General features: G+C 37.4%; 1 protein-coding gene across 18 annotated transcripts in view, besides 1 other annotated feature; it reads left to right on the top strand.

The window, feature by feature from the left end:
• The window catches only part of ROBO1 (roundabout guidance receptor 1), a 1,170,760-nt gene that overhangs the window by 802,677 nt on the left and 344,971 nt on the right, over nt 1-23,112 (top strand). Inside the window, exon 1 of one of the 18 annotated variants that reach the window (XM_047448662.1) lies at nt 14,521-14,596. The exons of the other annotated variants lie outside the window; for them this stretch is intronic. Within the exon in view, the coding sequence (XP_047304618.1) occupies nt 14,539-14,596 (58 nt within the window). The 5' untranslated portion in view covers nt 14,521-14,538. Of the gene's footprint in view, nt 1-14,520; nt 14,597-23,112 lie in introns of those variants that run through there. 18 annotated transcript variants of the gene reach the window in all.
• Nucleotides 7,316-7,898: an enhancer, noted in NCBI's record as "NANOG hESC enhancer chr3:79006574-79007156 (GRCh37/hg19 assembly coordinates)". NCBI's record gives its function as "activates a minimal SCP1, AML or CMV promoter by ChIP-STARR-seq in primed H9 embryonic stem cells {active_cell/tissue: H9 hESC(primed)}" and the evidence as "EXISTENCE:reporter gene assay evidence [ECO:0000049][PMID:30033119]".

The following is a 23,112-nucleotide window of genomic DNA, read 5'->3' as shown; positions in this document are numbered from 1 at the left end:
TCTGGTTAAAATGTGCATGGAATTCAGCATTAAATCTTGAATGTAAGTGTGCTAGTTTGGTAGAATTTTCCTAAATGTATTGAATGTAATTTATAAATTATCAAGGGAAATTGTTTTAGAAGAGTTTCAGAAAGTATATAGTATATATTATAATTATTGATTATAATGTGAAACATATAGTCCTTGAAATAGTAAACTCTATGTTTATGAGAAAGAAATTCACCTCAACATTATTTATATCATCTATTGAACCTCAAGTTGGTTTATAAAAATTTTTAGAGTTTGAAGTCATATATAATGTATAAAAAAGACCTTAAATTGACAATATTTTTTGCGTTCTCAGAGTGAAACATAGGCTGGGCGCAGTGGCTCATGCCTGTAATCCCAGCACGGGGGGATCACTTTAGCCCAGGGGTTTGAGACCAGCCTGGGTAACAGAGAGAGAATCTGTCTCTACAAAAATAAAAAAAAAAAGGTTTCAAATGAAACACAGGTTTAAAAAAAAAAAACAAAAAAAAAACCCTAAGCTTGCTTTCCTCTTTTAGACCCCTAAAACTCTGAGCCATTGGACTAAGTTGTATGAGTTCTTTCTTCGTAATTTTCATTTCTTATTCATTTTTATGACCTCTGTTCTTTCATTCCTGTATTATGGGGATGGTTATCTTCTCAGGTTTTGAGTCTCTTCCCACTGCTCTTCATTCTCCCTAGCCCTGTGAATTGAGTGCTCCTAAACAGCATTTTCATCATGTCACTGTACTTCTGAAACTCTTTTAAGAACTTCTGTGTTGCTATTAGGCTAAGAACAAAAAGCCTTTTTTTTGGACATATTTAGGTCTCTACAGTTTGGCAAAAGTTTGCCTTTTAACTCCTATTTTCACTAGTCTTTAACTGAACCCTTCATATAAACCAGGCTAGGCTTGTTCCCTTTCTGCCCCTGTACACCCCATTTGAGACACGTTTTCCATACATCTCTGCTTATCCTATGGTTACGGGTTGAATTTTGTCCCCCAAAATGTTGTTGAAGGCCTAACCGCTGGTATCTGTGAATGTGACATTATCTGAAGATAAGGTCTTTGCAAATGCTAGAGATAAGGTGAGGTCATTAGGGTGGGCCCTAATCCAATATGGCTGTGTCCTTATAGAAAGGGGAAATTTGGACACAAAGATAGAGATGTAAGGAGAACACCATGTAAAGATAAAGACAGGGATCAGGATAGGTGATGCAGCAGCCGCCGGGGAACTGCCAGGAAACCACTAGAAGCTGGGAGAGAGAGAGGTGGAGCAAATTCTCCCTCACTGCCCTGAGAAATAACCAACCCTACTGACACCTTGATCTCGAACTTCTAACCTCCAGAGCTGTGAGGAATTCAATACATTTCTGTTGTATGAGTCACTCATTTTGTGGTACTTTGTTATTGCAGCCCAAAGAAACTAATACATTCACTATTTTGTTTTTTATTTTAAAATTTGTTGTATATTCATGACCTTCTTAAAGAATCTGAAGGGGAGGGGCGCTGTGGCTCACGCCTGTAATCCCAGCATTTTGGGAAGCCGAGGCGGGTGGATCACGAGGTCAGGAGATCGAGACCATCCTGGCTAACACGGTGAAACCCCGTCTCTACTAAAAATACAAAAAATTAGCCAGGCGTGGTGGCGGCGCCTGAAGTCCCAGCTACTCCGGAGGCTGAGGCAGGAGAATGGCGTGAACCCGGGAGGCGGAGCTTGCAGTGAGCCGAGATCGCGCCACTGCACTCCAGCCTGGGCGACAGAGCGAGACTCCGTCTCAAAAAAAAAAAAAAAGAAAAAAAAAAAAAAAAAAAAAAAAAACTGAAGGTTTTCCTCTGGATCTTCTCTCTAAAAAAAATGCATATATGTTTATAAACACAAAACTCCAACAAATTTCAGAGGTAAAGAGTCTCTGATCCACTCAAATTATTTCTAACCCACCATGTTCATCCAAGGCATCATCTTCTTTGTGAAGAGAGTCTGCCCACTTCACTTAACTTTTGATTGTCTTTTCTCTTTGGAAATGTACTGTATATATTTTGCTTTTGGTACTTCATCCCATATTTCTTGGACTCCGAGCTCTCTCAACTTGAAAACTCTAATCTTTCTAAATACCAAACTCCTAGATTATAAGATTTGTATCAGGTTTTGAAGGATAGGGTTAGTTCTTCATACCCACCCTCCTATCATCAGCATTGCAAGGTAATATATATATATATATATATCAAGTATGAGATCACATGTATCCAATGCCCAGTACTTACCTGGAAGATACTAAGATACTCCATGCTCAACACCGAGTGCCTGCATTGCTGTTATCTTTCTTAAGAATATTAATGTCTGCTAAACTACTTCCCAGCAGAAAATAACTTGAACTTCCTGCTTGGGCAAGGGGTAATAATAACAGGTGTTACTTCACTCGTCTTGTACTGAGTCCAGCATCAGGAGAACAGTAAATGTGAAAAGTTTTTTTTTTTTTTTTTTTTTTTTTTGAGATGGAGTCTCACTCTGTCGCCCAGGCTGAAGTGCAGTGGCGCGATCTCGGCTCACTGCAAGCGCTGCCCTCCAGGTTCACACCATTGTCCTGCCTCAACCTCCCGAGTAGCTGGGACTACAGGCGCCGCCACCACGCCTGGCTAATTTTTTGTATTTTTAGTAGAGACGGGGTTTCACCGTGTTAGCCAGGATGGTCTCGATCTCCTGACCTCGTGATCCGCCCTCCTCGGCCTCCCAAAGTGCTGGGATTACAGGCGTGAGCCACCGCGCCCGGCCGAAAAGAAGTTTTAAAATGACAAGGCGGAGGAGTGTTCTCTGACAGTACCAGGGAAGGATGGCAGACCCCGGAGTTTACAGTTTTAAGTTTGACTCTCAGCTCACTGCAAATTATTAGGGAAATATTGTGCAAGTGATTTACCATGCTGAGCTTTTTAAAAATTCCACCAAAAAAGTAAAGAAAATTATACTTATATTTTTAAAGATTAGACCCTCTTCTAAGACTGTTGCGTTTATATCTTCATTCACACCCAGAGAGATTTGCATTCCACTTTCAAGATTCACAGGCACTTTGAAGCACAGGCACTTTGCCTGAACAGGCAAAGAACATCTCTTCTTTAGTGTCTTTTATGGAAAGTTTTACTCCTAACTTGGTGTTCATGGGAGTTAGAACAGGATCCTGGTTCTAGTGAGAGGGGATTATTTGTTGTCAACTTTGATCAAGTATTTTCACTCTAGTGATTAGTTTTCCTTTGTTTGGAAAATGTGAGGGTTGACGAATTTATCTGTTCTTTTTCCAGCTTTAACATGCTATATTAACCTCATTTTATGGATGAAGAAACCGACCCAGTAACTGAGGGTAGAGAGGTAAAAAAAAAAAACAAAAAACAAAAAACATGGGCCTAGAAGAAAAGCCCAAGTACTGTGACTATGAATCTACTGCCTTCTCTCCTCCCAACTACCACATACAACAAAAGTGTGTTTTGTAGTTTTCTTCAATTTAAATTAACTTTGAGGACTTAAAAAAAAATTATGGGTCTATGCAGTACATTCTTGTACAAGGTGAATTCTTACACCATTGCACTATTTTACATTATAGTTTAGTGGTTCACTGCCCACATTCTGGAACAGACTGTAGGAGTCTGAATATTAGTTCCACTTGTTAGTGTCTGTGAAATTTGGGATGAGTTATTTCATTTCTGTGCCTCAGTTTTCTCATCTGTAAGTTATGGATAATAATAGTGCCCACTTCAGAATGTTGTGGGTACTATGAGAATTAAAACACCTAATCAAATTGGAACGTAAGTACATTTTAGCTATTGTTCTAACCTGACATTCAAGATAAATGAGATAATTTAAAAAAAATCTTACCTGTGTGCTTTTGAGATGTTTTGAGAAAGCTCCATTTGTTCTTACTATTCTTAAACACATCAGTGCAGCTAACTGTGCAGAACTAAGTCAGAACAAGCATTCTGTGGGTTATACAAGGTAGTAGTGTCATCTTGACCATCTCCTTGCATCTTATGTTCCATAAAAATTTTGATTCATCTCTCCCTGTCTTTTCAAATTTTTTTTGTATGAAAAATTTACAATTGTTGTATTTGGTAGGGCTTTTGCATACTTTTGGGTGTCAGATTTGCAAAGAGGGATAAATATCTTTAAGTTCAAAGGTTGCAGAAGTATTGCCAGTATATGTATAGTGGTAATAATTCAGAGAGAGGGAATTTTCTGTAAATTGCAGTTAAAATAGTATTTTGTACATTATGGTTCAAAACTATTATGAAGGAAAATGAGAACTCTGAAAAGTGGCATAAATAAGATTCCAATTGGCTATACATACAGCGTATTGCAACGATTAGGGTGATGCGAAACAGAAAACACTAGAACAGATCTGCTTACAGTTTGCCAAGTAAAAAGTTTGTGAATGGAAAACCAGTAAAAATACTTAATTCCTTAAGTATTTTCTGTACCCTGTACCATTTTCATTTTGTGTGTGTGTGTGTGTGTGTGTGTGTGTGTGTGTGTGTGTGTGTGTGTGTGTGTTTTAATACGGAGTCTCGCTTCGTTGCCCAGGCTGGAGAGCAGTGGCGCAATCTCGGCTCACTGCAAGCTCTGCCTCCTGGGTTCAAGCAATTCTGCCTCAGCCTCCCGAGGAACTGAGACTACAGGCACGTGCCACCACAACCAGCTAACTTTTTGTATTTTTAGTAGCGATGGGATTTCACCATGTTAGCCAGGATGGTCTCGATCTCTTGACCTCGTGATTCACCTGCCTTGGCCTCCCAAAGTGCTGCGATTACAGGTGTGAGCCACCACACCCGGACCCATTATGTATTCTTTTAACTTTTCTTCTTCCATAGTGTTATTTAGTCAGGTAAATATAAAATAATTGTTTTAAGTTTATGTATAATACATAGAAATATAGATATTACAAATACATATTGCTATATAATATATTAATATATTATAAAATATATATTGCTATATGTTAACATGATATTATAAAAGTATATTGCTATATTACATATTAATATTACCTCTATTTGCATTGGTAGATATTTGCAGATATTCATTTTTAAGGGCACTGTATTTCTGATTAGATAAGTTTAAAAAAATTAAGTTTAAATTTAATTTTCTATGTTTTTAGAGATGGGATTTTGCCGTGTCACCCATGCTGGAGTGCAGGGGCTAATCACGGGTGTGATCATAGGTGCATTACAGCCTTGAATTCCTGGCCTCAAGTAATCCTCCCACCTCAGCCTCCTGAGTAGCTGGGACCACAGGCACCGCTGTTACCTGGCTTGATTAGACAATTTTTGCTGCAGAAATAGCTGGCTGTTTTTTCAATCTTACAATTTAATCATGCCACCCTCCCCCACTCCCCAAAAGCATATACTTTTGACTAATAATCCTTGGTTGTACCTTTTCAACCTCCAAGCTAACCCCAGTTGTGAATCAGGTGAAAATAATCAAGGAATTTATCATTGCTGAAATGTTGTGCTATCTGTGTATTAAACACCAGATGCTATATTGTCACAGATCTTGCTATATTGCTTTTCATGGTATCATTGTGAAGTTTTTAGATGGCATATATCTCTTGTTGATCACATAGTGGGTGAATTTACAAAACTTTTAGCAAATCTATGGTATAGCTCTGTATTGAACTTTTGTGGATCTGTTCTTTCTTCCCTTGTCTACTATACTTATATCACAGGCCCATAAATGCTATAAATTTTGGGCTTCTATCTACAATCTATAGGGGTCTGTACAGAATAGTTACTCAGTAAATATTTGTTGATTTGAAATAATTTTACTTCCATTCATTGTTTTAGATTATTTTTTCTCGGGTCTCTGCCATGTAACAATTATTATTCCTCTGGTTTTAAAATTAATATAAAAAACAAGTAGAGAATTTACTGTAGTTTTCCTCTTTGCATTGGATTTATTTCTGTATTTTCACAGTAGGTAGACTATTCTACTCTTATAATAAAACTAGTTTATCAAATATGATAGTAATGTGACAATCTCTTTCTTTCACACATATTGCCTTTCAGTAAACTTTGTTTTTAAATTTGGTTGTAATGCATTCTTTGTTTTAAAACAGTTTATATCATAGGACAATTTGAATATGCTTTTTGGTACTAGTTACTATGATTAATTTTTTTTGATGGGATATTTGCTCTTTCAGTCTGTTCCACTTGACTTATTAAGAAGAAAGGGTGGGCCGGTACAGTGCTCATGCCTGTATTCCCACCACTTTGGGAAGCTGAGGCAGGAGGATAGCTTGATCTCAGGAGTTGGAGACCCACCTGGCAACATAGTAAAACCTCTACTAAAAATAAACAAAATTAGCCGGGTGTGGCAGTGTACACCTGTGGTCCCAGGTGGGAGGATCACTTGAGCCTGGGAGGTTGAGGCTGCAGAGAGCCAAGATCACGCCACTGCACTCCAACCTGGATGACTGAGCAAGACCTGATCTCAAGGAAAAAAAAAAAAAAAAAAAGAAGAAGAAAGGGTGACCAAGCATCCTGGTTTACCTGGGACTGATTGAGGTAACTTTAATTATTAAAACTGGGATGATCCTGGTTAAACTGGGACGGTCCTGGTTAAACTGGGATGAATTGGTCAACGTAGGATAAGATTCCTGTATTTAAAAGAATTGGTTAATCTTACTAAGTCATCGATAAACTTGAAATCGTGGATTTTTTTAATATATAGTTTTATTTGAAAGTTGTGTTCAGAAAAAGAGATACTCCTGTTTTCAAACTGAGGGTACTTATCGGAAGGCATTTCTCAGAACTTGGTCCTAAAATGATGGGATATATCTAATTCTCAAACACATCAAAATTTGGAATTATTTGTGTTTCTAAATGATGTTTAAACCATTGAAATGTTAGCCTAATGGATAAATAAGAATTATAACTTGAATATTTCTCCAACTACAATTTAAAGTTATTTTGAGAATTAACAAATGTTTAAATGTTTTAGTTCAAAGCCCTTTAAGGAATAAGATTCCCAAACTTTAGTGTACATTAGAAATCACCTTGCATACCTGAAAAGACCAGTTACTAGTCTTCGTACCCAGAGATTATGACTGAATAGGTAAGAAAACAGTTATCCATATTTTGAACCTTGCTCTAGGTTTTTCCAAAGCAGACGTTTATGCATATATGTAGTAAACAAAATACTTATTTCAAAAGAAAAATCCTCTTATTTTTTCAAAAGACTGTATTATATATTGTCCTAACATTAATGACAAAGTAAATTTATATAAAAAACCAAGAACCTTATGCTGCATCTCGGTCTATGTCACTTGTAGTTTCTGTGCTAGCAGAAAGCTAGAGCAAAACCCATTATATTGAGATATATCAGTTATTACAGGCTGAGTGGGAAGAAAGTATATTTTAATAACGTAATTGGGTTTATTATTATTGAAGGATCTCACACATGCTTAAAAATAATCAAATGTGAAGTGAAAAATAATGTAAAGTTTAAATAAATGGTTTTCCCTGGGCAGCATAGACTAGGAATTAGCATGTAATGGCATGGAAGATAAGTAAGACAATTAGGTCTATTTGCCTCCTAAAGAGAAGAGGCAATTGATACCTGTTAATCGGTTTAAATCCATATCCAGTCTTTTAACTCCTAAGGATCACACAGGGCATGACTGAGCAGCTATGCGCCTCAGGGTTTGTGGTCTCTATTCATGTAATCTCACTCAGGCTTTTCACATTTCCAGGAAAGCTTATTTTTGTCGAAGGCATTTGCTCCCACTCATTGTAACCGTGTTGCATGCAGTTCTGCATACACAACTTGCAGATTTGCTTACTGGTTGTTTACGGGCCCCCATGTTAAAAAGCTGGCTAAGAGGTATATAAGTGCATATGCATTGATTAAGTGCACACAGTGTCACTTGCCATTTGTATTAACTTTGAAACTTTAATAACTAGAAGAAAAGAGAGAGAGAGAGACAGGTACCACTTACTGTTTTTGTTTTTTTGAAGGTTTTTTTTTTTTTTTGGCATTCTTGTATCACCAGCATCTAGTGCAGACCTGGTGCAGCATGGACATTTAGTACATATATTTCGAGTGAATAAATGAATGCAAAAGAGTTAACAAAGGTTCAATTTTATTTTCTCCATATTTTCCCAAAAAATATTTGTTGGTTTTCAGAACTTCTAAAATAAAAGATTTTATTATGAAAATAACACCAGAAGATCGTGGATTATTTAGAAACGACACACACTTATAGAGAAGGAAACAAAAACTACACATTTTTCAACAGCCTCTAAGAAATAATGTTAAGATTCTTTTCAGACCTTTCTTCTGTGTCTCTTCTTTTTCTGTCTCTCTTTTTCTCAGTCTGTCTTTTAAGCTAGAATTGTACAACTTTCACCTCTGTTAATTCTTGTATTTATACCACATGTGATACTGTGTTCACGTTTCAGGTTTCAGTGTCCTCAGAATTAAATTTAAGGAGAGCTTCCAGCCATGAATGGGCCAAGAGCCTTGTATAGCCAATTGCTTACAGGAAGGCTGTGTCTTCAAGACTCCCTTCCCTTGTGGATTTCTGCTTCCCATAAGCAGAATTAAGGCTATTCCTTATTTTATCTTCAGCTCAGAGGTACACTGACTGCCTCCAAGAATGATGCTTGTCTATACCACTAGGTATAAATGCCTATGGCATCACTTAACATTTTCTTCTTCCATTATTATTGATTATTCATTCAACAAATGTTTATTGAGTACCTGCCACATGCTAGGTGCTGTTTCAGGCAATGGGGATGTGGAAATATTTCAGTTATGGTTAATTATTTATTAATTAAACACAGATATTTCAACAAAACTGGTTTTTATGGCTTTTTTCCTTCAAAATTAAGAATTACACCACTCTCAAGATAGTTTAAGTAATAGATTTCCCTTTCAAAGTTGCGTTAAAATACAAAATGATAAATGCATGTAGGCATTATATTATCAATAATAAAATGTTCTTGGAATTAGGAAAATTTGGGGTATTCTAATCTTTTTGCATTAAATGTTGTATATGTTAATATTTATGGCTTATTTTGTCTATTAGATCAACTAGACATTTGTTTTGGAATGATGAATTATTTACTTACCCCTTTAGAAAATAAAGATTACTAATTACTCATTTAAATATTTACTAAAGTATGTACTATAGGATACTATTTAAGTATTTATGATTACTTAAAATTTAGATTTTGCATTAACATTTGGAATACCTTTCAAATTTCTATATCTTGTGTGCTAAATGATTAGAAGCTGCCTCTCAGTATCTTACTGGGGTGCCCTTAGGATCTGCAAGAGCTAAAGCCAAGATATAATGAGAAAGATATGAGGAAGATATCAGGAGAGAAAGAATACAATTAGTTTGCTAATGTGTAAAAGGTTTTCTTCAGGAATTCTTACTCATGTCAGAAGTACTGGTTGAGTTTTTAAAATGAGTGAAGTTGACAGCATTCCTATAGGGATTTCTCAGTAATCCTTTAAAAGGTTATTTTAAGTATTTTGTTTTCTAAAAGTGTAATTGTTTTTAGACAGTTATCCTTAAAATTGCAATCCCATATGCTATCTTGCAGACATTAGTAACTCACCTAGAATCAAGAGTTATTGAAGTATAACACAAGTATGATTGCCTAATGCAAAAAGTTGAAAGCTTTATTTTTAGTACTTTAATTGATTTTAGTTTATTGACTTTTGGCGAATTATATTTGTAATATACAGATTCCATGAAAATCTGATGTAACTCTTTAGACAAAGAACTCATAAATATTACTTTAATTATAATTTTAAAAACCCTCCTATGGTTAAGGAATTTTATTATATTCATACTTGTTTTTACATACTTTGATAGCTTAAAAACATGGTTTTACAATGAGAACACATGGACACAAAGAGGGGAACCACAGACACTGGGGTTTACCGGAGGGTGAAGGTTGGGAGGAGAGAGAGGTTCAGAAAAAATACATGTCAGGTACCATGCTTATTGCCTTGGTAATGAAATAATCTGTACACCAAACCCCCATGACACACAGTTTACCTGTATAACCCCCATGACACACAGTTTACCTGTATAACCCCCATGACACACAGTTTACCTATATAACCCCATGATACACAGTTTACCTATATAACCCCATGACACACAATTTACCTATATAACTCCATGACACACAGTTTACCTATATAACCCCATGACACACAGTTTACCTGTATAACCCCCATGACACACAGTTTACCTATATAACCCCATGGAACACAGTTTACCTGTATAACCCCATGACACACAGTTTACCTATATAACCAACCTGCACATGACCCCTGAACATAAAAGTAAAAAAAAAAAAAAAAGTTTTTAAACACGAAAGTAAGATTAACTTCAGAAAAAAGAAATTCTCTCCTTAGAAATTTAAATTGAGAACAAAGTAGTTTTGTTAAGCAAGGTTTATTTTATAAGTTATAAGAGTACTTTTAAGTTGCCACTTCAATAGAGGAATCTGCTCATGTTCTGTATATTGAGGTTATAGTTGGCTCAAATATATAACCATCTGCTATTTCTATATTATAAAGAAATGAAGTGCAGATTCACATTGATTGCAGTACCATATAATTTGTTCTAATATAAAGAAAACTGAAGATTATAATTAACTATGTTTCCATAGCAATAAAAAAAATCCTGGGACCACCCAAATGCTGTTTTTCATGATTGAAAAATATTGTCCAAACTCCTTTGTCAGTGAACATTTCAAACGTCTGATTGGTTCTAACAGCTGAAATAAGCTACTATATTATATTATGTTATATTTGTTGTATTATATTCTATTTTCAGACCTAAATGTTTTGGTCCATTAGAATGAGTGTTACGGATGCACAATTACAAACAATCTATACTCTGGCTACCCATAGTATTTTTGTATTTTTAATGAAAAGGAGATGAAAAACAATATGACTATTCACTCAGTAATATTTTAAAAGCACTAGTGTGTCTTTAAAATTTTGAAAGCAATACATTTACTCAGTGGATATATTTGCAATGTTTTCCACAAGGAACAGAGATGCTTTATTATAGATGGCTTTAGTTAGTCAGTCTCTGATGCTTCTCAGTAAAACAGTAAGTTGGCTCTGCTAAATGCTCTAGTTTTTTTTTTCTTTTCTGTCTTTTGAAAGATGCTCTGCTGGAATTGTGCCAAAACTTGCCAAGACCTGTATAAGTGGAAAATTATTTTAAGTTGAATGCTCAACTTAAACTAAAGATTTAGCTTTATTTTCAGTGTTTCTTAAAAATCTAGGGAAAATAATTAATTCATCTACAAATTACTAAGAATCCTAATGTAATTCCAGAAAAGAGTTAGGAGGAGAATCTAAAATCAAATAATGGTGCTTATGACAGCTTCCAAAATACTTGATTAATGGTTCCAACTCATGGATCAATGTAATATTATTTTGTGCATTAGAACTTATGCTAACCTGTAAAGTGTAGGTATTTTAGCCTCATTTTACAGATGGAGAAACTAATATTCAGAGAGTTTAAGCAGTTTATTCAAGTTCAAACAACTAAGAAGTACCAGAGGCTAGATTTGAACCCAGACCATCTGAATCCAGTCTCTAGTTTTAATTACTTTCCCCTCAGGTGTTACAGTAGTTTATGTCCCTCTACCCTCACGCTGTTTCTTCCTTTGATTCCAGTTTCTTCTACTGGTGTCTTCTCTTGTATGGCTCTTATTTTTCAATATTATTCTTGTTAATATTTCTGCCTCCCTTGGTAGACTTCAGGCTGTTAAGATCAGGGATTCTATTTCATATTTCTTTGTGCTGCCAATGCTTAACACAATTCATACTACAGTATAGGAATAATATACAGGTAAACAACTAATGGATAAATTGGTGGATGGGAGATTGAGAGAATTTGGACTTTAACACATGCAAATATACTTGTTCAGTATTTTACAGAAAGTAAAATTCTTCAGTTTGCATGTTACTTGAGCATTTTACTAAGGGGCAAATAGGAAGAATGAACTCAGCTAGCCAGCTTCAACCTTCCAGTTCCCTTAGTTACAGCTCAGGATGAAATCCTGCCTGAATTGGTTCAATAGTGACAATTCTCCAGTTATTGCCCTTCTAGCTTCTATGATATTTGGGTCTCATGACAGAAAACCCTCTCCTACTTAGTTGTCTATGTATTATTAACAATGGGAGAGGGGAGGCAAAATTCTTTCTAAAATGTAACTTATGCTACTGCCAATCTTTTTCATATCTCTGGGGACATAGCCATACGATATTAGATTCTTTAGGAATATTACAAAAACACCAGGCATTCACTCCTGGAATTTCCTTTTGGTCTATTTTGGTAACCATTTTAGATGATAAATTCTACCAATGGCACTCAGTTAATTATTAGGGTTATTCTAAATTTTGACTGGAGAAGTTTTCCTCTAAATAGTGTTTGCTTAGGTAGAAGTTTATAATCAAGAGACATTAGAATAAAATAAAGTAGCTGAGCGAAATGGCATTATGTAGTAATCATGTAGTTATTATAATCCATTCCATTTTCCTTGTATTCATGTACTATGTATAATTTTGGGTGAAAGTACTTAGCTTTTTTTGTAGAGTGTGGACTGTTTTTATGCTTCTTATTTCAACAGTAAGCATGAGTATTTGGAAATGTGTGTAACTTAATAGAGGATATTTAAATCTACTCTGCACAGTGAGTAATTAATGGGTGCTGCCTTCTTATTTTTTAACAAATGTCTTCTTGTAGGATGAAATTCTGACAGGAAAATTACAGGATTAGTGCCCATGATAGGATTTATGTTAATAATTGGAGGCAGTTCTGCTCCTTTAAAGGTAAATGGAGCTTAAATAAAAGTGTTAAGCAGCAAGGCTCTTTTAAGAATATAGGTTTGAACCTATATATAAATATATAGATTTTTATATATTATATATATAATTACATCCCTGTCCCCACCTTGGACAGATGTCGCCAAATTCTCTATTAATTGTCTATTAATATTTATGGTGTATCTGTCAGCTACTCACTGAATTTGTTCCTCTTCTGCTTTTAACAGTTTTATAAGAATTTTTGTGCTGCAAGATACATTAATATGATATTTGATGGAGACAGATACTTTAATCATTTTAGGTTTTCTAATTTTATACAGCAGAGTATGAAAACGGTTGGATCAAAACAAAACTACTAATAAAATAAATACTGTTTTTTCTGTCTGTTAAGAAACAGACCTGAAACACAAATAAACAAAACCATAAGGTAAATATTAATGTCATGATAGAAAAAAATCATATATATGAATAAAGAATAAAATTATATATATAATTCTTTTAATACATATGTTTATGCTTACCTCAACAGAATAGTAACACGAGCAGTCTCTTAAATGGTTACTTTCTGTGTTTGTGTAAAAGTGACCTCTCAGAGGGGGAAGCAGTTTACATCCAACTAGGAGTTTGGTTTCCTCATCATAAATCTTGTGTGACTTTGATATATTTCCTTGAAATACTTAGCACTTACGTGTATATCTTTTTCCAGCTGTGGTTGTGTAAATATTTAGATATTTCAGTCACTCATGTTTATATTTTATCTTCCAACTGGGCAGTTGTTGAAGGAATCCTGCCCTGCGCTTTCCCTGATGCTGGTCTTGCCTGAAGTGAGTTCTCAAGATTCTACCAGGATTCTTGCAGAGGGCAGTTGACAGTGTCAGAGAGAGTATCATCCTAGTTCCTTTGTAAAAGCCTCACGTCATCAGTCTGTGTGGTGTTGTTGTTTTTTTTAACCCCCTCTTCTTTGTAACTATTAGGTTTACTATGCAGAATGTGGTTGAAACCTGGAAGTTGGTTCTGCCAATTGGGATAGAAATTTTGTATCTTATTACATAAAATATGTACAAATTCACATAACTAGAATGATGGTTATCAGATGTTTTATAGGAATGTGGAATTTATGAATGAAGAGAGAAAGCTTTTTATGAATAATGAGTCGAATATTATATATATGTACTGTATGTAAATATATAATATTATAAATAATTGTGACAGAGTGAAGGTAGACACCACTTTTAGGGTGGAAGACTGCAATCACTGATATCTGGGACTTGGAGGCTTTCATCCGTACTCTTATGAGATTTATATATGCTCTTCCATATTTGGCCTTGGTGTAACTCCCTTAAAGTTTTCCTTTAAGAAAGTGAGTCAGAGTTATATATATCTATGATATAGGTTATATATGATATATAACATACACATATATAGGTTTTATATATATTATTTATGATATAGGTTTTCCCTCAAGTATATTGGCAGAAAAAAAGTTAGAAACCAATGATATTGAATTTTAATTGTGCAAACAATTGTGTAGGAATTGAGGTTCTCAGAATATGAAAAACTGATCATGTAAGGATATTTACTCAGCAATGTAAGCTCATATTTGGAGAAGATGGCACAGTACATGGAAAGCTTTATATCTCCATTTATTCATCAGCAGGGTCTCTACTGAGTGAAGTAACTATGAAATCATTTGCAGATGGATATTCTGTGCATGGGGAAAGCACAACAGAGTCAACAGGTTTGACTGTTTCTTGATGTTTTGTTTTTTTTTTTAATTTAATATTACATTTATTTTATTATTATTATACTTTAAGTTTTAGGGTACATGTGCACAATGTGCAGGTTTGTTACATATGTATACATGTGCCATGTTGGTGTGCTGCACCCATTAACTCGTCATTTAGCAATAGGTATATCTCCTAAAGCTTATCCCTCCCCCCTCCCCCCACCCCACAACAGGCCTCGATGTGTGATGTTCCCCTTCCTGTGTCCGTGTGTTCTCGTTGTTCAATTCCCACCTATGAGTGAGAACATGCGGTGTTTGGTTTTTTCTCCTTGCTATAGTTTGCGGAGAATGGTGGTTTCCAGTTTCATCCATGTCCCTACAAAGGACATGAACTCATGATCTTTTATGGTTGCATAGTATTCCATGGTGTATACGTGCCGCATTTTCTTAATCCAGTCTATCGTTGTTGGACATTTAGGTTGGTTCCAAGTCTTTGCTATTGTGAATAGTGCTGCTGTAAACATACGTGTGCATGTGTCTTTATAGCAGCATGATTTATAATCCTTTGGGTATATACCCAGTAATGGGATGGCTGGTTCAAATGGTATTTCTAGTTCTAGATCCCTGAGGAATCGCCACACGGACTTCCACAATGGTTGAACTAGTTTACAGTCCCACCAACAGTGGAAAAGTGTTCCTATTTCTCCACATCCTCTCCAGCACCTGTTGTTTCCTGACTTTTTAATGATTGCCATTCTAACTGGTGTGAGATGGTATCTCATTATAGTTTTGATTTGCATTTCTCTGATGGCCAGTGATGATGAGCATTTTTTCATGTGATTTTGGCTGCATAAATGTCTTCTTTTGAGAAGTGTCTGTTCATATCCTTCGCCCACTTTTTGATGGGGTTGTTTGTTTTTTTCTTGTAAATTTGTTGGAGTTCATTGTAGATTCTGGATATTAGCCCTTTGTCAGATGAGTAGGTTGCGAAAATTTTCTCCCATTCTGTAGGTTGCCTGTTCACTCTGATGGTAGTTTCCTTTGCTGTGCAGAAGCTCTTTAGTTTAATTAGATCCCATTTGTCAATTTTGGCTTTTGTTGCCATTGCTTTTGGTGTTTTAGACATGAAGTCCTTGCCCATGCCTATGTCCTGAATGGTATTGCCTAGGTTTTCTTGTAGGGTTTTTATGGTTTTAGGTCTAACATTTAAGTCTTTAATCCATCTGGAATTAATTTTTGTATAAGATGTAAGGAAGGGATCCAGTTTCAGCTTTCTACATATGGCTAGCCAGTTTTCCCAGCACCATTTATTAAATAGGGAATCCTTTCCCCATTGCTTGTTTTTGTCAGGTTTGTCAAAGATCAGATAGTTGTAGATATGCGGCATTATTTCTGAGGGCTTTGTTCTGTTCCATTGATCTATATCTCTGTTTTGGTACCAGTACCATGCTGTTTTGGTTACTGTAGCCTTGTAGTATAGTTTGAAGTCAGGTAGTGTGATGCCTCCAGCTTTGTTCTTTTGGCTTAGGATTGACTTGGCGATGCGGTCTCTTTTTTGGTTCCATATGAACTTTAAAGTAGTTTTTTCCAATTCTGTGAAGAAAGTCATTGGTAGCTTGATGGGGATGGCATTGAATCTATAAATTACCTTGGGCAGTATGGCCATTTTCACGATATTGATTCTTCCTACCCATGAGCATGGAATGTTCTTCCATTTGTTTGTATCCTCTTTTATTTCCTTGAGCAGTGGTTTGTAGTTCTCCTTGAAGAGGTCCTTCACATCCCTTGTAAGTTGGATTCCTAGGTATTTTATTCCTTTGAAGCAATTGTGAATGGGAGTTCACTCATGATTTGGCTCTCTGTTTGTCTGTTATTGGCGTATAAGAATGCTTGTGATTTTTGTACATTGATTTTGTATCCTGAGACTTTGCTGAAGTTGCTTATCAGCTTGAGATTTTGGGCTGAGACGATGGGGTTTTCTAGATATACAATCATGTCATCTGCAAAGAGGGACAGTTTGACTTACTCTTTTCCTAATTGAATACCCTTTTTTCCTTCTCCTGCCTGATTGCCCTGGCCAGAACTTCCAACACTATGTTGAATAGGAGTAGTGAGAGAGGGCATCCCTGTCTTGTGCCCGTTTTCAAAGAGAATGCTTCCAGTTTTTGCCCATTCAGTATGATATTGGCTGTGGGTTTGTCATAGATAACTCTTATTATTTTGAGATTTGTCCCATCAATACCTACTTTATTGAGAGCTTTTAGCATGAAGAGTTGTTGAATTTTGTCAAAGGCCTTTTCTGCATCTATTGAGATAGTCATGTGGTTTTTGTCTTTGGTTCTGTTTATAAGCTGGATTACGTTTATTGATTTGTGTATGTTGAACCAGCCTTGCATCCCAGGGATGAAGCCCACTTGATCATGGTGGATAAGCTTTTTGATTTGCTGCTGGATTTGGTTTGCCAGTATTTTATTGAGGATTTTTGCATCAATGTTCATCAAAGATATTGGTCTAAAATTGGTTGTGTCTCTGCCATGCTTTGGTATCAGGATGATGCTGGCCTCATAAAATGAGTTAGGGAGGATTCCCTCTTTTTCTATTGATTGGAATAGTTTAAGAAGGAATGGTACCAGCTCCTTTTTCTACCTCTGGTAGAATTCGACTGTGAATCCATCTGGTCCTGGACTCTTTTTGGTTGGTAAGCTATTGATTATTGCCTCAATTTCAGAGCCTGTTATTGGTCTATTCAGAGATTCAACTTCTTCCTGGTTTAGTCTTGGGAGGATGTATGTGTTGAGGAATTTATCCATTTCTTCTAGATTTTCTAGTTTATTTGTGTAGAGGTGTTTATAGTATTCTCTGATGGTAGTTTGTGTTTCTGTGGGATTGGTGGTGTTATCCCCTTTATCATTTTTTATTGTGTCTATTTGATTCTTCTCTCTTTTCTTCTTTATTAGTCTTGCTAGCGGTCTATCAGTTTTGTTGATCTTTTCAAAAAACCAGCTCCTGGATTCATTAATTTTTTGAAGGGTTTTATTGTCTCTATTTCCGTCAGTTCTGCTCTGTTCTTGGTTATTTCTTGTGTTCTGCTAGCTTTTGAATGTGTTTACTTTTGCTTTTCTGGTTCTTTTAATTGTGACGTTAGGGTGTCAATTTTAGATCTTTCCTACTTTTCCTTGTGGGCATTTAGTGCTATAAATTTCCCTCTACACACTGCTTTGAATGTGTCCCAGAGATTCTGGTATGTTGTGACTTTGTTCTCATTGGTTTCAAAGAACATCTTTATTTCTGCCTTCGTTTCATTATTTACCCAGTAGTCATTCAGGAGCAGGTATTTCAGTTTCCATGTAGTTGAGCGGTTTTGAGTGAGTTTCTTAATCCTGAGTTCTAGTTTGATTGCACTGTGGTCTGAGAGACAGTTTGTTATAATTTCTGTTCTTTTACATTTGCTGAGGAGTGCTTTACTTCCTACTATGTGGTCAGTTTTGGAGTAGGTGTGGTGTGGTGCTGAAAAGAATGTATATTCTGTTGATTTGGGGTGGAGAGTTCTGTAGATGTCTATTAGGTCCGCTTGGTGCAGAGCTGAGTTCAGTTCCTTGGTATCCTTGTTAACTTTCTGTCTTGTTGATCTGTCTAATGTTGATAGTGGGGTGTTAAAATCTCCCATTATTATTGTGTGGGAGTCTAAGTCTCTTTGTAGGTCACTAAGGTCTTGCTTTGTGAATCTGGGTGCTCCTGTATTGGGTGCATATATATTTAAGATAGTTAGCTCTTCTTGTTGAATTGATCCCTCTACCATTATGTAATAGCCTTCTTTGTCTCTTTTCATCTTTGTTGGTTTAAAGTCTGTTTTATCAGAGACTAGGATTGCAACCCCTGCCTTTTTTTGTTTTCCATTTGCTTGGTAGATCTTTCTCCATCCCTTTATTTTGAGCCTATGTGTGTCTCTGCACGTGAGATGGGTCTCCTGAATACAGCACACTGATGGGTCTTGACTCTTTATCCAATTTGTCAGTCTGTGTCTTTTAATTGGAGCATTTAGCCCATTTACATTTAAAGTTAATATTGTTATGTGTGAATCTGATCCTGTCATTATGATGTTAGCTGGTTATTTTGCTCATTAGTTGATGCAGTTTCTTCCTAGCCTTGATGGTCTTTACAATTTGGCATGTTTTTGCAGTGGCTGTTACCAGTTGTTCCTTTCCACATTTAGTGCTTCCTTCAGGAGCTCTTTTAGGGCAGGCCTGGTGGTGACAAAATCTCTCAGCATTTGCTTGTCTGTAAAGTATTTTATTACTCCTTCACTTATGAAGCTTAGTTTGGCTGGATATGAAATTGTGGGTTGAAAATTCTTTTCTTTAAGAATGTTGAATATTGGTCCCCACTCTCCTCTAGCTTGTAGAGTTTCTGCCAAGAGATTAGCTGTTAGTCTGGTGGGCTTCCCTTTGTGGGTAACCCGACCTTTCTCCCTGGCTGCCCTTAACATTTTTTCCTTCATTTCAACTTTGGTGAATCTGACAATTATGTGTCTTGGAATTGCCCTTCTCGAGGAGTATCTTTGTGGTGTTCTCTGTATTTCCTGAATTTGAATGTTGGCCTGCCTTGCTAGATTGGGGAAGTCCTTCTGGATAATACCCTGCAGAGTGTTTTCCAACTTGGTTCCATTCTCCCCATCACTTTCAGGTACACCAATCAGACGTAGATTTGGTCTTTTCACATGGTCCTATATTTCTTGGAGGCTTTGTTGATTTCTTTTTATTTTTTTTTTTTCTCTAAACTTCTCTTCTCGCTTCATTTCATTCATTTCGTCTTCCATCACTGATACCCTTTCTTCCAGTTGATTGCATTGTCTACGGAGGCTTCTACAGTTGTCACGTAGCTCTCGTGCCTTGGTTTTCAGCTCCATCAGGTCCTTTAAGGACTTCTCTGTATTGGTTCTTCTAGTTATCCATTCATCTAATATTTTTTCAAAGCTTTTAACTTCTTTGCCATTGGTTTGAATTTCCTCCTGTAGCTCAGAGTAGTTTGATCGTCTGAAGCCTTCTTCTCTCAATTTGTCAAAGTCATTCTCCATCCAGTTTTGTTCCGTTGCTGGTGAGGAGCTGCATTCCTTTGGAGGAGGAGAGGCGCTCTGATTTTTAGAGTTTCCAGTTTTTCTGCCCTGTTTTTTTCCCGTCTTTGTGGTTTTATCTACCTTTGGTCTTTGATGATGGTGAGGTACAGATGGGTTTTTGGTGTGGATGTCCTTTCTGTATGTTAGTTTTCTTTCTAACAGACAGGACCCTCAGCTGCAGGTCTGTTAGAGTTTGCTAGAGGTCCACTCCAGACCCTGTTTGCCTGGGTATCAGCAGCGGTGTCTGCAGAACAGCATATATTGGTGAACTGCAAATGCTGCTGTCTGATTGTTCCTCTGGAAGTTTTGTCTCAGAGTAGTACCCGGCCGTGTGAGGTGTCAGTCCGCCCCTACTGGGGGGTGCCTCCCAGTTAGGCTACTCGGGGGTCAGGGACCCACTTGAGGAGGCAGTCTGCCCATTCTCAGATCTCAAGCTGCGTGCTGGGAGAACCACTACTCTCTTCAAAGCTGTCAGAGAGGGACATTTAAATCTGCAGAGGTTACTGCTATCTTTTTGTTTGTCCATGCCCTGACCCCAGAGGTGGAGCCTACAGGGGCAGGCAGGCCTCCTTGAGCTGTGGTGGGCTTCACCCAGTTTGAGCTTCCCGGTAGCTTTGTCTACCTAATCAAACAACTAACTCGGCAATGGCGGGCACCCCTCCCCAAGCCTCACTGCCGCCTTGCAGTTTGATCTGGGACTGCTGTGCTAGCAATGAGCAAGACTCCCTGGGTGTAGGACCCTGTGAGCCACGTGCGGGATATAATCTCCTGGTGTGCCGTTTTTTAAGTCCATTGGAAAAGCGCAGTATTAGGGTGGGAGTGACCCGATTTTCCAGGTGCCATCTGTCACCCCTTTCTTTGACTAGGAAAGGGAATTCCCTGACCCCTTGCGCTTCCTGGGTTAGGCAATGCCTCTCTCTGGTTTGACTCGCACACGGTGCGCTGCACCCACTGTCCTGCACCTACTGTCTGGCACTCCCCAGTGAGATGAACCCGGTACCTCAGTTGGAAATGCAGAAATCACTGGTCTTCTGCGTTGCTCCCCCTGGGAGCTGTAGACCGGAGCTGTTCCTATTCGGCCATCTTGGCTCCTCCCTCCACATTTATTTTCTTCTATCCCCAAAGAACTCTTTAATCTGTTCTGGAGGCTGAAATCTGACATCAGGGTGCAGGCATGGCTGGTTTCTGATGAGGGCTCACTTTCTGGCTTATAGATGGCTGCCTTCTGTGTCCTCACATGGCAGAGAGAGAAAAAGAGAGCAGGAGAGCTCTTGGTGTTTTTATCATCTATATTTTAAAAGTAAGCAATCAAAGTGCAAAGTGAACACCTCCAGTGTTGGAAGCAAGTGTGAACAAAGCATGTTTCTCTATGGATTTTAACTAATTAACCATAGCAGTATTTATGGAATAGTTGGAAAGAGCAAGGACTTTGAATCTGACTGTGATTGAATTCCAGCACTGCCACTTCACAGCTGAATGACAGCTGAGAGTCTCAGTTCCCCCATATGGACACAGATATAACAACACACACTTCATAAAGATGTTGTTGTAATACAGAAGATGGTGGATAATTAGTAGTGGTTTTCTTTTCTATTCCTTTTCTTCCTGCTTAGACTTTATAACAAATAATAATTCATTATACTTTTTTAATAAAGATGATGATTACCATTTATGGTTTTTATTATTAAAGTTAACCAATCACTCATAAATCATCACTCTGAAATTGGAAGATCTTTTTCCTGAAGGTTATACATTATGAGAAATGTGAGATTTCTGTATTTTGTCATAACCTCCAAGGGTATTGGCTTAATAGTCAAGTAATAGGTTTTTTGCTGATCCTATTCATTCTCCTCAAATTATTAAATGCTTGATAGTGTATATTTTCTCTTGAAATGTGTTTCTTAGAAGCAAAGTTCAGTGGGATATTCTGCAAAAAATAAAAATAAAAAAGAGTTCAGTGGCCAAATAAGTTGGGAAATGCTACATATTATACCCCTCTTCTTGTACATCATAGTATGCCTTAGCAGACTAATCACCCTGAGAACTGCAACTCTTCCTTGAAGCAATGCCTAGTAACAATCTGAAGAAAGAATATTCCATAGAGCCTTTTGAGAAATTTAGCGTTTAATAATATGGAAAACATTTTTATTGCTGAGACATTTACTGAATTGTTGTGTACAAACATCATGGTAAAAACTTGGTCCTGAGTTCCATTCCCAAAGCCATACTGGTTGTGGTTTCGCTATAGGGGACTGCAAATCAGGGACAGAGTGAACTCTCAGCAACACTGCACTTTAGTGGCGCCTGGGTGACATCCAGATTCTGTAATTGGTCATTACTTCCTGTACATCATCTCTCTAGACTTAAAAACAAAACAAAACAAAACAAAAACCTTTCTTTGTTTTTTTTGAGACTGAGTCTCTCTCTGTCGCCCAGGCTGGAGTGCAGTGGCACGATCTTGGCTCACTGTAAGCTCCGCCTCCCAGGTTCACGCCATTCTCCTGCCTCAGCCTCTCGAGTAGCTGGGACTACAGGCGCCTGCCACCACGCCTGGCTAATTTTTTTTGTATTTTTAGTAGAGACAGGGTTTCACCATGTTAACCAGGATGGTCTCCATCTCCTGACCTGGTGATCTGCCCGCCTTGGCCTCCCGAAGTCCTGGGATTACAGGCGTGACCCACCGCACCCGGCAAAAAAAAAAATAAACTTTTTAGAGATGGGGTCTCACTATGTTGCCCAGGCTGAAGTGCAGTGGCTATTCACAGGTGTGATCATAGCACACTGCAGCCTCATGGGCTCAAGTGATCCTTCCACCTCAGCCTCCTGAGTAGCTGGGACACACTACAGGCGTGTGCCACTGGGCCTGGCTTCCCCAGGAAGTTTTGATCTTTACTATGGATTTAATCATTGGCTGTATTCTAATTGACTTTCCAGCTGAGGTTTCTTTTTTGAGGTCAAACTTAAGGATATACAATTGACAGCTTGTCAGTACCGTTTGGCTATTCTAGAAGTATCCCAAATTCTTCATGTCTCATACTGAATAGAATTATCTCCTTGCCCTTCTTCCTTTTACCAAATTTCACTCTCTTATTCCCTGCCTTCAGTGAGACTGCTCTTCACCCATTACAGAGACAAGAAACATGGAATCTCCCTACCCTCTGCTTGTCCTCCATCCTGTGTATTTGCATTTCCTTTTACTCCATATTGTAAGTGGCTAGACTCTGTTGATTTTATGAATTAATATCTTGAGATTCTTCCTTCTGTTTTCCCTTCTGTCTGTTAATGTCTAAGTTCTGGCTCTCAGGTTTCTTCCTTTCTTTATCTTTGAGACAGTGTCTCCCTCTGTCCCTGTGCTGGAGTGTGGTGGTGTGATCTCAGCTCACTGCAGCCTCGACTTCCCAGGCCCAGGTGATCA

The sequence above is a fragment of the Homo sapiens genome, chromosome 3 (genome assembly GCF_000001405.40).
Source record: "Homo sapiens chromosome 3, GRCh38.p14 Primary Assembly".
In the NCBI taxonomy this organism is placed as follows: Eukaryota; Metazoa; Chordata; class Mammalia; order Primates; family Hominidae; genus Homo; species Homo sapiens.
Note: the sequence above shows the minus strand (reverse complement) of the source record. Positions and strands in the feature narration are given on the sequence as shown.